At 38.8% G+C, this 17,760-nt stretch overlaps 1 protein-coding gene across 3 annotated transcripts in view; it reads left to right on the top strand.

The window, feature by feature from the left end:
- The window catches only part of CORIN (corin, serine peptidase), a 244,067-nt gene that overhangs the window by 146,996 nt on the left and 79,311 nt on the right, over window positions 1–17,760 (top strand). For 2 of the 3 annotated variants that reach the window (NM_001278585.2, NM_001278586.2), the window contains 3 exons: window positions 7,234–7,341; window positions 13,018–13,134; window positions 16,572–16,679. In NM_001278585.2, coding sequence (NP_001265514.1) covers window positions 7,234–7,341; window positions 13,018–13,134; window positions 16,572–16,679 — 333 coding nt within the window. Of the gene's footprint in view, window positions 1–7,233; window positions 7,342–10,820; window positions 10,932–13,017; window positions 13,135–16,571; window positions 16,680–17,760 lie in introns of all 3 variants that reach the window. The other variant, NM_006587.4, reaches the window with a different exon arrangement.

Genomic DNA, 17,760 nt, shown 5'->3' with positions numbered 1-17,760 from the left:
ACTGTTTTGCAAGGCATTTGCCAATGTCTGAGGAGCTGAAGCATTTATTAAGGAAAATAGATATGGCCCTTTCCCATGAACATATCACAAAAATGATCTTTTGGTCCGTTGGGGAAATACATCCCTTCAGAAAACTTCTGTATGAAAACACAGACATTGAAGGCTTCTTATGCAATTGTTTTTGACCTTACAAGGACATCTGCTTTTGAGCTTTAAGGTTGAATGCTTGTGGTGTTTCAGCATGAGTGTTTATGGAGGGTGCCATACTCCTTTTGTCACCACCCTGTGGTGAAGGAATAGTGTAAGTCTGAATTAGGCCTTGGATGTGAATCAGAGTGAATGCAACCCACAGATACTCATGAGAGGAGAAGGAAGTTTTGCTGTGCGTTCTCAGTGAGGAACAGAAGAAAATGCCTAGTTCCTAAGGTTCTCGCAAGTAGGCAAGAAGGAGGACTGTCAGAGGAGATTATGCTTCTATGGATTAGATGCAAAAATGATCTCTAGCTAAGCACTTGCCTGCTTTTATAAAACATGGGTCATATTAGGTGGCCTGTGTAGTTCATTGAGTTATTAATTTCCTTTTTAGTCAGGTTCAAAGGAAGGGAGAAAAGGGACTTATTATTTGTGAGTTACCTCATAAACTATGCTAGAAGCATTTACCTACATGCTTTGATTTAATTATCAGCATAGGAAGTGTTATCTACCACCTTTTGTACAGGTGCAGAGACAGAGCTTAGGGCAATGAATAAATTTGCCCATGATTCGCTAAATTTGAACCCAGTCTTAAATGGTTCAAAATCTAATGCTTTTTCTTTCAGCTCGTCTGCCTTTGACTTGTCCTTGTCCATAAAAAAGTTCAGATTTAGTGAGATTATACTCTGATCATTCATATTGCAGGAAAATGTTTTAACTGATTTTGATGTATTACGGCTTTCAGAGGTAATTGTTTATTAAAGAGCACTCCAGGTATCTGTGACTTTCTGACTTTCTCCCCTAACTGGTTTTGTCTTGTCAATCTCTTCTTAAGTATTTGTTGGATGAAAAGATTTCCAAACACCTGAAACAATTTTAGTGGTGCAGTAGAAAAATTTTCAAAAACCAGGAAAATTTTAGAAATGTCTACCTCTGTGGCTTTAGGCAGGCCACTTCTGTAACCCTGGCTTTCAGTATCATCATGGATGGCTGCATGCTGGCCTCCTCAGGAAGCCCCATCTGCAGAGATTTTGATTCAGTTTGTCTGCAGTGGGGACCAGGCAGCAGTACTTTTGTAACGCTCTCCAGGTAATTCTAATGGACGGCCAGACTTGGAAGCACCGGGCTAGAAGGTGCTTGGTGTCTCTTTTGTTGTTAAGATTCTATAATCTTTTGAGTCTATAACTGGCTCCTAGAATAGTGCCTAGGACATAGCAAGTGCTTAGTAGATGAATACTTCTTAATTTTAAATTAGAAACTCAAGGAAAACGTTTTCACAGTGAAATAGCTGCCACAAAGTTCACACATTTTATGACACATAAAAACCACTATCAAATATTTTTGAAAATCATTTTCTGTGAATTTTGGGTAAAATTGGTTGACTTATTTTTGAGGATGGTGGCTATCTAATTACACCGAGTGTAATACGGTGTAGTAATGACTACTATAAATTCTTGAGTCAGGCTGCTTAGGTTTCGATCTTACCATTTCCTGCCTCTGATAACTTAGGCAAGTTACTCAACCTCTCTGTGCCTCAGTTTCTTCAGTAGTACAATGGAAACAATAAATAGTGAATATCTCTCAAATTGTTCAGAATAATGATTCACTGAATATAAAGCATATAGACCAATGTCTTGCATGCAGTAAGTCTCAAAAAGCACTAGGATTTGCGGTCGTGACTGTTGTTGTCACTGTTGTTATCTTATTGTTCCTCCACTCCCACCCAGCACCTCTTGTTACTAGGTGCAGAGAATGACCACTGGAAGTCGTGGGGACAGCTGATAATGTCAGCTGATACATGTAAGGAAGAGAGAAACACAAAATATGCACAACAATTTTAAAAGCAGCACCACGTGAAGCTATTTTAGAATGGAGGCAGCCTAAAAAGCACAAAATAAAAATTGATATTCCAAATGATGTTTGAATCATCAAAAATGACTGTATCTATAATAATCTTTCTACTAAGATGTAGCTGCAAGTAAATGCTAGAAATAGTTTCATCAAAATTATAAAAATAAAAAAACTCTATGCTTATGGAAGAAGTACTAAATGTTTGCAAATTTTACTTTTTTGTATAGTGGCAATCTGATTATACTGAATCAATCAAAGTATTGAATATTCTTTAATTCCTACTATGTATGAATCATGTTTTAGCTACCTAGTAAATAGAAAGATACTGTTAAGCCATGGTTTCTTTCTTTATGAGTCTTTTAATCAAATCAGGGAACTAACGTATACACATAGAAACTATTAAATATGTTTTTTAAAATTTTTTTTTGAGATGGAGTCTCACTCTGTCACCCAGGCTGGAGTGCAGAGGTGTGATCTCAGCTCATTGCAGCCTCCACTACCCGAGCTCAAGCAATTCTCCAGGCTCAGCCTCCTGAGTAACTGGAACTACAGGCGTGAGCCACCACGCCAGGCCTGATTTTTGTATTTTTTGTAGAAACAAGGTTTTGCCATGTTGCCCAGGCTGGTCTCAAACTCCTGAGCTCAAAGTGATCAGCCTGCCACAGCTTCCCAAAGTGCTAGGATTACCGGCGTGAACCACTGTGCCCAGCCTAAATATGGTATTTTAAAACAGTATAACACAAGCAATATCACAAAGTCAAAAAAATTGAGGTAAACAAGCAAACAAAAAAAGGCAGCAGCAGGGAGTCCTTCTAGTAAAAAGAGTAAGATTACTAGAAGCTGGATTGCGTAGACAGCTGATGGAAAAGATGGGATTAAAGCTAGGCCTTGCACTCAGGTGATGTTTGTATACTGTGCAACATGATTTTCAATTCTCTAGGTGACATTTTGCAATGCATGGAGACTTTTTTTTATTGTCACAACTGTGAGAGTGGAGGGAGGTGCTACTGGCATCTAGTGGGTAGAGGCCAGAGATGCTGCTAAACAAACTACCCTGCACAGGGCAGCCCCCAACAACAAAGAATTACCCAGTCCAAAATGTCAAATGATACTGCCGTTGAGAAACCCTTTTCTAGAGCTGGAAGCCAATAGTAGAAAGAACTCAGAGAGTCAAGAAGCCTGGTTCTTCTCATGGTTCTGCTGTAAATGAGCTGAGCAACAGTGGACAGACCGTCTAACTCCTCTGGTCATTTCAGAATCAGAGGATTGGATGAAATAACCTCTGGTCCTTTCCATATTTAATCTTCTGTGGGTGGAAACTGAGCATCCGTACTTGCATCTTGAGTTGAGGCAACACATTCATGTTTATAGTCATAGAGACTGTACAGTTGAAAGAAGCCTTTGAGAAAAAGCCTTTCTGTGTGTTAGTTTTCTGCTCTAATTTAACAATAATTTTGAGAGACAAGAATTAATAGTGTGCGTATGAGATGCCAAACTGAAATCAATATTAACATGCAAGAATTTCAGAAGAAACATTTTGTATCAAGCTCTCCTTAAGAAAAAAAAAGGTGTGTCTAGAAAAACATCTACCTTAGGCCATGCAAAATTATGCTTGTTATTGAGCAAGAAAATCACAGCAAGCAGCTTTTTCAAATTTTGATTTGCTGGCCCCAAATTGCACTGACAACATCTCTTTCCAGGTCAAATAAACATTTATTTCAGTAAAAGGAGACACTGTGATCTTTGCCATTTGCTACTGTATTTGCATTTGCCATTTGTATTTCTGGCTTTGCAGTGCCTCTGGTTAAGGTTTTGCGTGTTTACTAATCACACAGACCTTAGGGAAGTAACAGATTGTTTTCCAAATGCAGCTCATTTTGTATCTCACTTCTAAAAATGGCTTCTAACCAAGCAAGTTATAATAGTAGAAAGTTGAATCCACACCTGGGAGAACAATGAGGATTTTTAAAAAATGCCTGAATCCTCTCCATTTATAAAGTAATTTAATAAATGAGGACATCAATTTTTAAAATATCTCCAATGCAGTGTTTTAGTATGAATTACCAGGGGTCCTAGAATGGGCCTCATAGAAGACAAATAAACTTTTGGAAATTTTTGGTGTGTTCTTAGGTTAATCAGATTCTGAAAGGGGTATTTGATTCCCTAGTAGTCCTACTGTCAAAAAAAGTGAGTGTAGTGCTTACAAAGAAATTAACTCCTAGGGTTTAAATTGTGCTGAAACACTGTCCCCCATCCTCTGGGCGAATGCATGCGTATACTTTGCACTGATCGTCAAGTTGAGAAGCCTTATTTCCCGGGCTATTGCTGATTCTAGCATGTTGACTCAAAACTTCCCACAAGAGTAATTTAGATTAAGACAAAAAAACATCAAAAAGATCTTTTAGAATTTCACAAGGTAGTGTATATATCTTGATGCACGAATTCCCCAGATCTACCCTGTGGGCAGAAGAACCAGTGTCATAACCTTTCCACTCAGCTGTCACATGTGTTGTAGCCTCATTCAGCAGTGGGGGTGCAGGGTGGGGAAATAGCGCCCTCTGCTGAGTGGGATAAAATACCGTTGTCAAGGTGATCGCTAGGACTTCTTAGTTCTTATATTTTCCCTTATGGTGGCTGTCCTTATTTGAAAATTATTCAGGCTGGGGGAAGTGAAAAATAAAAAGTACTTACAAAGTTCTGTATGCTTATAAGTATGGACTTACGTGTATATATGCGTGTGTGTGTCTGTGCACATACACACCTTCCTAATGAAGACACTGAACAGGTGATTTCTAAGGCCCATTCCATTCCTAAAATGATGTGATTCTAAAAACTTTAAGTTGTTTTTTTTTTAGAAGAGTGCTTTTTTGAAACAGTAATTTATGATTCATGTATATGTAAGTGTCATATTTTGGCAAGCCTAATGTTTTAACTGATCAATGCCAAAGGCTTTGGATAACGAATCGTCATCTAGTATGGGATGTTTACAGTAAAGTGGTGGCTGCTACTTGTATGAGATACAGGCTTCTGCTTGAGGAGAAACAATCAGCTGGAATTCAGGAGATTGAACCACTGACTGCTTGATTTCTGGCCTTCATCAGCCAAGTAGACTGATCTTCAAACGTGCCCTATTTTTTTGCCTCTTTCCTTTGTTCTTGCTATTTCATCTGCTTGAAATATGCTAAACTTTTCATTACATCCACCCTATTGAAATTCCGCCTATTTTCTGTATTCCTTCTCCAGCCTTAAGCAAACTGTTTTGCACTTAATTTACTTTAAATAAGGGAAATAAAAATATACTTAAGAAATCTAGTTTCTGTAAAATGCAGATTTCTTTACATATATTGATTTTAAACATTTTTACAGCTTTATTGAGGTATAATTTACATCCTATAAATTTCATCTATTGATTTTTAGTAAACTTATAGAGTTATGCGACTAACCGCACAATACAGTTCTAGAATGTTTGCATCTCCCCCAAAATTTATCTCCCACACATTTGTAGTCAGTCACCAATTCTAATCCCTCAGCTACTGTAACTACTTCTCAGATTTCTGTTTCTATAAATTTGTTTTTTCTGGGAATTCCATAAACGAGTCATATAATATGTAATTTTTGTATCTGATTTCTTTCACACAGCGTAACTTTTTGGGGTTCATCCATACTGTCACATATATTGGTAGTTTCATCCTTTTAATCACCGAGTAGTATTTCACTGCATGAGTATTACGTTTTGTTTGTCCATTCCAGTTAGTGAGTAGTTGGATTTTTTTCCAGTGTTTGGCTTATGAATAATGCTGCTGTGAACATCTATATATAAATCTTCATGTGGATATATGTTTAATTTATCTTGGGTAGATTCCTAAGAGTGGAATTCACAAATTAATTGTATGGTAAGGTTGCAGTTACCTTCATAAGAAACTGCCAGTTTTCCAAGGTGGCATTATTATTTTAGTCTCACCAGAGATCCATGAGATTCATTTTCTCAAAATCCTTGCCAATACTTGCTATTATCCATCTTTTCCATTGTAGCCATTTTAAGGGATGTGTAGTTATATCTTCTTGTGGTTTTAATTTGCCTTAGCTTATTTTTTTTTCTTTTGTTTTGTCCTGCCCTCTCACCTCCCGCTGCCTTTGCTTAATGACTAATAACGTTGAGCACCTTTTCATGTGTTTTTATGTCTTTCATGAAGACTTTCTATTCAAGTCTTTTGACCATTTATAATTGAATTCTTTTTCGTCTGATTATTGAATGTAAGAGTTCTATAGAGACTCTGGATATCCAAATTTCTTTATCATACATATAATTTGCAAATATTATTCTAGTATTGTCCCAATACCGTTTGTTGAAAAGAACATTCTCTTTCCATTGAATTGCCTTACACACACTATTTCATTAAACTCTTCTTTCAAACCCTATTAAGTGGCTGATTTTGTCCCAATTTCATACATCAGTTCACAGACTCCTAGACTTGAACTAACAATAACACACTAAAAGTCCCACAGCTAGTAGATGGCAGAACCAGGATAGGAGTTCTGGTTTACCCAAGGACAAGACTTTATTTTCCTATTAAAATCAGGAAACCATTTGCCCTGGATGTTGTTTATTTCAACATTAAACTATAAGCATCCTGAGATTACATAGCACTTCTCATCTTGCCACCATAGTCTTTGGACAGTACTTGCTTATTTGAGGATTGCATTATGAAACACTCAATTGACTTAAGCAGTAATGTTTATGTGAAAGGAAATAATAACTCCATAATCTAAATGACTTATTTTATTTGTTATGTTTATGCTTTCTACTGACAAACCTAGACTTCAACTCTAAAGAAAACATAAGAGTTACTAAAGTCTATTCTGCATGAACAAGAACTTCATTAGGAATGATGGTGAACTGAGAATGTCTTTTCTCATCTTTAACAATCAAGGATCGTTCAGGTGACATAAAATAGAAGTCAGAGAAACACATCAGAAAGTGATAAAATCACTTGGCTTGGGAGCCACTGTTCAAGTGGCCTTGAACAGGTCGTTGTATCTCTGTGTGCCACCTTCTCACCTATAAAACAATAGGTGTGGACCAGGTTACCATTAGGGTGTCCCTTCCATGATTGGCTTTTGTTAAATATCGTACTACAATAGCATTCTGTATGGCTCTGATGACACACTGGTGGCTTCTTTTATTTGCAGACTGCAGCGAGAATCTGTTTCACTGTCACACAGGCAAGTGCCTTAATTACAGCCTTGTGTGTGATGGATATGATGACTGTGGGGATTTGAGTGATGAGCAAAACTGTGGTAAGTAGCATTGTTTCCCCAAAGGTTTTAATTTAAAATCATAGAAATTTATAACCAAAAACTTACAGTTCATTATGTGTTAATATGATTAGCAGTTTAAATTACAAAATGATTGGTTTCTTGTTTTTTAGAAGGAGGAAGTTTGTTCAGTCACTGTCCTCAGTAATGTCTTATGTGTAAATGTAATACCTAAAAAATCATATTAAGAAAATGTTTAAGAAGTGGGATGGGAAGACTGGTAAAGGTTGTTAATGCATTAATAGTTTTTTTTCCTCTCCTCAAATGTGTTCTGTTTCTCCTCTGGTTAGAGCCAGTGGCTTACGTTAGATTTGGGCTTTTGAGCAAACTTTGAGGGCAGATATATTGTCTGTGCCTGATTCCCTTGGTACATGTGACTGAAGTCCCCTCCTTTATTTAATCCTCAAATAGTACAGGGACCACCTGTTCAGCAGCTACACCCAGGGTTAGGATGATGCATTTGTTTTGTGTACACATGGTGATCTTATCTTTTAAAGAATAACCCCACTTTTTAAAGAGTCATGTCCAATTCTGAATGCCATCTCATGAATTAAAATCAGCAAAATTCCTCTTGCTCATTTACTTTTTTGGCTTTGTGACTAGCTTCAGAATTTTTAGGTAGCATATTATTGAGTGACGTAGGAACTTTGCAACATGAACAAAAGGGCAAACTGGGATGAGGATACACCCTGGACAAATGATATCAGACAATGTCCTGCATTAGATAACATCAAAATGAATGTTTGGGAAGGATCAGCGGTATGGTCAGAGGAAGGCATTGGAATCATGAATGTTAGGAATAACCCCATGCTGGGAAACCTGGTGGTTTCTAGGAGCGCTGTCTAGCTGCCACTTGCTGTATCTGTAAAAATATTTTAAAATGTATGTGTACAAACCATTCCTGTGTGACTAGATAGAGGTGGGTTATTGCTTTTTTCTGATAATAGTTTATTTTTATTTTATTTTGACTAATAATAGTTGTACATATTTATTGAATACAGCATGATATTTTAATACATGTATACAATATGTAATGATCAAATCAGGGTAATTAGTGTATCCATCACCTCAAACATTTATCATTTCTTTGTATTAGGAACATTCAGAATCTTCTCATTTAGTTATTTGAAAATATGCAATAAATTATCATTAACTATAGTCACCATCCAGTGCTATAAAAACCTACAACTTGTTCCTCCTATCTAGCTGTAATTTTGTATCAGTTAAACAATCTCTGTCTCTCTCTCTCTTTTTTTTTTTTTTTTTTTTTTGAGATGGAGTCTTGCTCCATCACCCAGGCTGGAGTGCAGTGGCGCTATCCCGGCTCACTGCAATCTCCGCCTCCCGGGCTCAAGTGATTCTCCTGCCTCAGCCTCCTGAGTACTTGGGACTACAGGTGTGTGCCACCACGCTCAGCTAATTTTTGTATTTTTAGTAGAGATGGGGTTTCTTCATGTTGGTCAGGCTGGTCTCTAACTCCTGAGCTCATGATTTGCCTGCCTCGGCCTCCCAAAGTGCTGGGATTACAGGCATGAGCCACCGCACCTGGCAGCAATCTCTCTTTGTCCCTCCTCCTCCATACCCTTCTGGCCTCTAGTAACCACTGTTCTACTCTCTATTTCCATGAGATCAACTCTGCATATGAGTGAGGGCATGTGGTATTTCTGTTTCTATGCCTGGCTTATTTCACTAAACAGAATGTCCTCCAGGCTCATCCATGTTGCTACAAATAACAGGATTTTATTCTTTTGGCGTGGCTGAATAGTATTCCATTGTGTAGATGTACCATATTTTCTTCTCCACTCATTTTTTGATGGCATAAATTGATTCCATATCATGGTTATTGTGAGTAGTGCTGCAGTGAATGTGGGGGTGCAGATGTCTGTTTGATATACTGATTTCCTTTCCTTTGGGTATATGCCCAGTAGTGGGATTGCTGGGTTATATGGAAGTTCTATTTGTAGTTTTCTCAAGAACCTCCATATTGTTTTCCATAATGACTATACTAATTTACATTTAGATGTGGGTTATATCCTGGGACTGACTAGTCTTGAGAAAAAGGATGAGAGGAAATTGTAATTATATAGATCACAGAAATTATAGTTGCAGGAGGCCTTGGAGATCATCAGATTCAACCCTTCCCTTTACCAGTGAGATAATTAGGAAATGCAGGGGATTGAAAATGAGTGAGTGTCGTTTGGTAGTTGGATAGGTTAGTGGAGAGGGCCAGCATGCAGGTAGCATGTGAGAAAAAATGGTCTTAACAGGCAACAGAATTCCTCTGAAGATAGCAGGCTATCATGAAGTTTGTGTGTCTGGATGCCAGTTGTCTCCATCTAATAGCAATAATTATCACTTTCCTTCAGACCAGCCTCTGCCCTGGCTCCCTGTGCTCTTCTGGTTCCTGCCCAAGCACTTCTTATGCTTTTCTTCTTTTCTCAAACCTATGTCCTCCCTATACTTTCCTCTGTTGATCCAAAATATGCTTTAAGATCCATGGTCACTCCGGAAGTCTGTCTATGACCATGGCACTGTTACTAGACTCATCATACTTTCTCATGGAATCTATTATTCATGAATCCACATACATCTTCTAAAACACTGCTTATATTCAGGGTATACCACCTCTCATGGCAAAGCATCCTATGGATTCTGCCCTTTGTGAGAGCGAACTTATCACTTAGTTCTTTTTCACTAATATATAAATTGGGACAAAGTTGAAGTCCAGGCTAAAAAGAATCATGAATATAACATAAATATTTTGCATGGCTTACCTAGCAGTTCTTTTGGATATAAGGCCAGGCATGCTGGCATATTCCTTGTAGTCCCAACTACTTGGAGGCTGGGGTGGGAGGATCACCTGATCCTAGGAGGTTGAGGCTGCAGTGAGCTATGATCACACCACTGCACTCCAGCCTGGGAGAAAGAGAGAGACCTTGTCTCAAAAAAAAGATAATCAATTAAAAACTTAAGCTTAGCATCAGGAGAGATGACAAGGAGATACGTGCCTTCCCAATTTGCCAGACAGGTAAGTTATAATTCCTAGAAACGTGAGAGAGCTGTTACAGATACATCAAATCCGCTAGCCGCATTGTGAAACACAAATCACAGTTCTGTTTTTTGAACCAGGGTAGAAATCATAAATTTTTCATAAGGAAAGAAAATGACAACTAAAGAAAACAAAAGCCAACAACAATAAGAACAAACTACGGGTCCTGGGGCAGCTAGAGTAGTTACTTATCTGAAAAACAGACCCATCTTACCCCACAGTGATGGTGGTCAGTGGGGCACATGAGTGGGGAGGGCGTGGCATTTTAATTGGGCCAGACCTATTGTAGAAATGTTATTGAAGGTATTGGAGCCATTGGAACAGACTCTCTTCGATGGGAACTGGGAGCCATAGAATCCTGCCTGTTAGTCATGCTGGTTCTCTGCATCCTCGTGAGTTTTCATTTCTCCAGATTGCAATCCCACAACAGAGCATCGCTGCGGGGACGGGCGCTGCATCGCCATGGAGTGGGTGTGTGATGGTGACCACGACTGTGTGGATAAGTCTGACGAGGTCAACTGCTGTGAGTGCTCTGAGGACGTTTGTTTTGCTTATTTTTCCATTTCTGGTTCTTTAGGCTGTACTCAAGGTTGAGGACTGTACTTAAGACTCACTATATACACAGCATTCCAAGGGAAAGATTCTTATGCTTTGGTTCTAGCCTGTAAAGATCACTGAGTCATGGGATGACAATAGCAATGGAGTGTATCTGACTTCCACACCTCTCCCTGCAAAACTCCAAGCTTCATTTGGCTGATCTAGCCAAGTGGGTGTCTGTTTTCTCTCTCGTTGCTCCATATGTCTCTTTTATGCTTCTGTGACTTTGTCAAAGGTGATGCTCTGCCCACAGAATGGGGAACCTTTCTTCTGCAAACAATACATGAGTAGTTAAGCTTCCCTGCAGGAGTGCCCTAACATGTTTTCAGGGGCCATTTGTGGAAGAACATGGAAAGAATCGTCAGAGAGAAGAGAGCCTTTAATGTTCATATGATGATACAAAGAGAGCATAATAGGCCGGGCATGGTGGCTCACGCCTGTAGTCCCAGCACTTTGGGAGGCAGAGATGGGTAGATGACCTGAGGTCAGGAGTTTGAGACCAGCCTGGCCAACAGTCTCTAGTAAAAATACAAAAATTAGCTGGGTGTGGTGGCAGGTGCCTGTAGTCCCAGCTACTCAGGAGGCTGAGGCAGGAGACTGGCATGAACCAGGGAGGTGGAGATTACACTGAGTCAAGATCAAGCCATTGCCCTCCAGCCTGGGTGACAGGGTGAAACTCCATCTTTAAAAAAAAAAAAAGAGAGAACGTAGTAATAATATAAATTTATAAACTGTTGTGTTTCTGTGTGAATGAAAATCTTCAGACAGTTGTTATACTTCAAACTAATAACAAGTATGGCTATTAACACTTTTTCCCCCTGGAAAATATACTATACCCATTAGAGAATAATATACATGATTGAATAGAAGCTGTCAGGTCTTAAGAGAGAGTGCAGTTGACCTGAAAGAGTTAATGTGATATGTTCTTTTGCATGTTTGAATTAATTATACTTTTCATTTCATCTTTTTGTGTCTAGTAAAAGTAAGAAAGTTGATTATATACATGAGATTGAATATTTAATTGGCTTATAATTTGAGGCAAAAATAGAAATGTGGATTACATAGTTTTTATTTTGACATAAGAAAAGTCATATAAAAAGTCACAATGCGTAGCTCTCCTCTTCCCTGAAATGGATTTGAAGTGGGATGTCCTCCGAGTCCTTGCCTAGTGGACACAGTGGAACAGAGTGGACTGTATCTCACTAGATCTTGGAGAAGCAAGGACATGGTGCTCAGGTAGAACACTTCTGGTGTGGAGTCTTGACTCAAGAACAGAGAGGTCATAATATTAGTAATTCAGTGAAGGCTGAGGTCACATGATCCATGGGTTTCCGATACTCTAAAAGACAATAGGTATAGAATTTAGAGAACCGATAGGAATTAGAAGGTTAATGGATATTAGGCCATCCCTTTCAAATATCAGTTGTCATAAACAAGTGTTGAAATAAAGTGTTTATTATGTGTTAGTTACTATGCAAGTTCTTTCCCATATACTATTTTGTTGGCTTATGAGGTCAAGTAGATAAATAATGAAATATTGGGGCTGAGAGTCCAAAAAGCTTGCCTTCACATTCTGGCTGTAGCTCTTAGCCATGGGACTTTGAGCAAGTACTATGCTCTGTAAACTTTAGTTTCTCATCTGTAAAACAAAGATGATAGTATCTACTTTACAAGATTTATATGAGAATTTGAGATTATATATACAATGCAGTTAGCACAGCTCTTGCCATATAATGAACCCTTTACAAATTGTCATTTTTATTAGTAAGTAGGATCATGATACTTCCATCACTAAAAACAATCACACAGTTCTCAAGAAAAAGTTAATCTTGGTAAGTGCTGTTCAATAAGGCAGGAAAAATTCTAGAAATAAAATCAATGATATGTTCATTTGTGTGTGCAGAACACCTTGTTTCTTAGCGATGCTTGATAAATGGCTGTTGCTTATTTGATGTGCAGATTGAGAGAGAAGAATTAATAAATAAAGTGAATATTGTTATGGTCCTTCCTAGCCTGTCACAGCCAGGGTCTGGTGGAATGCAGAAATGGACAATGTATCCCCAGCACGTTTCAATGTGATGGTGACGAGGACTGCAAGGATGGGAGTGATGAGGAGAACTGCAGCGTCAGTAAGTGTGTCCCACCACCCCAGAACATTCCTTTACTGGTGGTCCTCTCCTTGGGAACAAAGGAACACATTTGAAGTTGCTTAAGTAGGATTCCCATGTAAATAATCCCAGATTGCCTAACATAGTGGTCCTCACAGCCCTAGTCAGCCAGGAAACACTTTCTTGTGCTAAACATAATTCTCAAGCAACTTACACTGAAAATCATTCCTCAGGTGAGACACCTGAACAGCATGGTCAGATTCACTTAACTGTTCGATGGGGAAAGCCGTGATAAAGAGAGAAGTTTAGTGTATAGCATCCAATTAAATCAGATTAGATTCCAGTGAGAAGAAATTGGCTTCTGAAAGGAAATGTAATGTCTTCCTAAAATAATCATGTTCAGAGAAGCAGTTTAATGCCTCTTATTACCGAGCAATACACTTTAAAAGGATTTGATATCTGCGTGTGAATCTCAAAAAGAAAAACTAGATCCAATAAATTGTTTTTTAAATGTAACTATTTCTGTCAGAAAAGAAAGTTCTATGCAGCTCCAGTGTGTGTGGAAGCCTCTCAGTAGGGTCCAGGGAAGAATATGCCTAGACTCAAACATCACATTTGTTTATACTACACGGGCACAGCCTAGTTGTTAATAACATGATTGTTGCAGCCCTGATACCCAGGATCAAGCCTCGGTCTGCTACTTACTATATGGTGACTTTTGGCAAGATACTTACATCCCTTTTAGGTCTCAGTTTGCGTGTCTGTACACTCAGAATAGTGATAACTACTTCATAGTGTTGGCATATGGCAAAAACTCAATATATGTGAGCTTTTATTACATGGCTACTACATTAAAGCATATCTTGGGCTGTGTATATTCATAATCAGCCAATGAGACTGGTCACCTATAGATAAATTAGGTTTGTCGTAATGCATATTGATCATTAGAATAACTTTAATGGAAAAATGCCCAAGACCTAAAGGGAGAGCTTTTCAGTCACAGACTTATTACATAAAAATAATATATAAAGAGTGCTTTGTTTTACCAGTTTTTAAATTCAGAATGAAATCCTTTATTAAACGTAATTTATTGTGTGCATATCAACCGAGCACTTCCGTTTGCATCAAACTATTCTTTCTTTCTGTATAATTCAACTCTGAAATAATTTTGGATTTTTCATGATGAAATGGCAGGCTTTGTAGATTATTTCCTTACATGTGTGAGATGTAAGAAAGTCATATGATAAAACAGATTTAAAAGTAAAATTTTAGTATTTTTATATTGTTCACTTTAATGGATTCAACTCAAAAAATGTATATTGTGGTGTTTATATGTGGCCATCCCCTGGGAATTCAGTGGTAAGCAAAACCGCTGATGGAGCTTGCAGACTCCTGGGGGACATAGGCATGCTACGAATTATTAGGCAAGTCAATGCTTAACCATGCAGCAACAGAGGCTAAGAAGGGAAATTCAGGGTGCTTGGATGCCCTTAATAGGGTGCATGCCCTGGTAAAGCGCCTCAGACAAAGCTTCCCTGAGGAAGAGATACTGGAGCTCAGACCTGAAGGATGAGTGGGGTTAACCAAAAAGAACGGGGCTTGAAAAAGCAATTGAGACACAAGGCACCGCTTGACCAAAATTCCTGTGGTGGGAAGGTGCAAGGCATGTGTAGGAGGACCATGAGAGAAGGCAGACCATTGTGATTAGAGAGCTGAGAACGAAAGGGGGCCTGGTACTAAATACTACATAATTGTCAGCATGGGTTGCAGGTTTGTTCTGCTAGACAGAGCTGGAAAGGGAAGCAGGGGCCACTTCTCTGGAGACTTTGGGTCTTGCTGAAGAGTCAGGCCTTTGAAACTCTTCAGGCTCTGTCCCTGCCTATCTGTCTAGCCTCTCTCAGCCCCTTTCTCAGTGGTTGAAGCTCCAGTTACTTTGACCTGTGCACTTCCCTATTCTAGGCCTTTGCATGTGCTGTTTCTTGGCTTGGGAAACCCATCCTTTCCTCTTACCATGACTTGGAAAAGTCCTTTGAGAAACTTCCCCATACTGGTCTCATTGGCTTCTACTGCTCTTTAAATGTATTTTAGCTGGGCGTGGTAGCACATGCCTGTAATCCCAGCACTTTGGGTGGCCGAGGCAGGAGAATTACTTGAGACCAGGAGTTTGAGACTAGCCTGGGCAATATAGCAAGACCCCCATCTCTATGAAACAATAAATAAGTAAAAATAAATATGTCTTCCATAAAGCAGTGATCACACAGCATCAGAAGGTTTTGTTCAGGATGATACCTCTATCAGAGCACAAGCCACTTCCCAGGGGGTATTATGCCCTTTTATGTTTTAATGCTCAGTGCCTAGCTTGTCACATAGATTGTCACATGGCATGCACTTAATATTTGCCAAAATAATGAATGCATGATGTCAATAAAACCTCCTCAAGAGCCTAAACTCACAGAAATTGTTTAGGTTTGCTTTGAGAAAAAATTTTGACCCTGCTGACATTAAAAAAAGAGTGACATCTCTTTTCTGCAAGGCTTTGTGTATTAATTTGCACATTAGTGGTACTGGAAAGGATAAATATTTCAGTATAATAAACATCATCTTAGAATTATAGGTAAGAATGATTATACATACACACATACTATTATTTATACTTAAAAGTGCCTTGCAAGGTTGACTAGATTCCAGATGACATGCCTGAAGGTAATTGATCGTAATGGGGGAGAGAGTGAATGGGCAGTAATTTATTACCTTCTCCATTTAATCTACAAATGACCAGGGAATCAAGGAAAAGCAGTTTCCTCTCTACCTACCTTAAGGAAAAATCATTAGGGCAAACACTGATACTACTGCTGTCATTCACTTAGAAACAAGAAACCCAGTTCTCAAGTCATCACAGCTAGGCTGATGACACTTTCCAAGGACATATTGAAAATATGGATAACAGCTGCATAACACTTGTATTATGGTAAAGTATCCTTATTGTATTGGTGTTGATGCCCTATTTATTACTAGAGAAAGCATTTTCCTTAGAGGGAGACTAGAATTGGGAGCAAATGAGTCTTAAAAAAGTGTCACTTAATATTCAGAATTTCAAGATTTTTATAACGTTCTCTGTCCCTCAAATCTCTTGAATTTTATTTTGTAATCAAGTGTTGGCACCCATGTAAAAAGAAAACACTATTTTTTTCCCATTAAATGCAACAACCACCTGTTTTTAGTGTAGTTTGTCTCTTATTTCTTCATTCCTATTTTGGAATACCTGGATTGTATTTAATTACCAGGAAAATGAATCCAGAAAGCACCTATTCAACGTACGTTCAATACTTTTGGAGAAATTGGAAGGAAATTAAAGTTGTGTTATTCCTCAGCTCCATCAGACATTCCTGATCTTTTAGATCCTTAGGTAAGGAATTTGTAGATGATGAAAGCCAATGTGCCTTTTCCTCCCTCTGTAGTTCAGACTTCATGTCAAGAAGGAGACCAAAGATGCCTCTACAATCCCTGCCTTGATTCATGTGGTGGTAGCTCTCTCTGTGACCCGAACAACAGTCTGAATAACTGTAGTAAGTACAACAGCTGACAAATGCAATAGCCATGTCAGGGCATGCATTCAGCATTTTTCTTCTGCATTGACATTCAAATACTGAAGTCTGGAATCCCTCCAAAAAAGCCTACCTATTTTCTTTTTCTTTTTAAAAGGTCGCATGTGGTAGCAGTAAAGAAACCAAATGGTCTTAATTAACTTCAATCAGAAACAAATGTGTCATTGCGAACGCCTATAAGTCCACATTGCTTAATATCATTACCATTACTTTCAACTCAGCATTAGTTCTCTGTATTATTTTCTTGGCTCCATCTGTAGGCAGATGCTATCTTTCTTCCTTTTTAAAGCATAGCTTCAAAAATGGAAACTTTAACCAAGAAGCAAATATGAAGTTCATAGAAATAGCCACATACAACTTTGGCAATCTGTTCTGTTTTTTTTGAGACACACTCTCACTCTGTCACCGAGGCTGGAGTGCAGTGGCCCCATCTTGGCTCACTGCAACCTCTGCCTTCCAAATTCAAGTGATTCTTCTGCCTCAGCCTCCACAGTAGCTAGGATTACAGGCGCTAAACACCCTCAGTGATCCATCTGCCTGGGCCTCCCAAAGTGCTGGGATTATAGGCAGTCGGTTCTTTTAATGAAATTTATTCTCGCCTTTCCAGGAACTCTGATGACCTGTAATGGTTTCGGAACCATTAGGCTAATTTGTTTCGGTGACAGTGTAACAGCTCCAAACGGTGTAAGCAGGTGGCTCTAAAATGACTTTCAGGAGGAGGAGTTATTTGGGGAAGACAGAATGGGCGGAAGTGAAAGAGCACCCTATGGACTCTCATGGAAAATGGAATCAGAAAATCCCCAGCGACTGATTTCTAGTAATGATTTCTGACTCCTGGGCTCTGTTTTCATGTTATACTCGCTTCTTTCACTTTTTCTAATGAACTTTTTGCTGCATTTTCAGGTTGGGATTAGAAATTTAAAAGCAGGTCAGTCAGTTTTCAGTTGGCAAGAGGATATTCCTTTTTTTTTTTTTTCTGAGACAGAGTCTGGCTCTGTCACCCAGGCTGGAGTGCAGTGGCACGATATCGGCTCACTGCAAC

The sequence above is a fragment of the Homo sapiens genome, chromosome 4 (genome assembly GCF_000001405.40).
Source record: "Homo sapiens chromosome 4, GRCh38.p14 Primary Assembly".
Taxonomy (NCBI): Eukaryota; Metazoa; Chordata; class Mammalia; order Primates; family Hominidae; genus Homo; species Homo sapiens.
The sequence above is the reverse complement of the archived record's forward strand: the minus strand, read 5'-3'. Positions and strand labels throughout refer to the sequence as shown.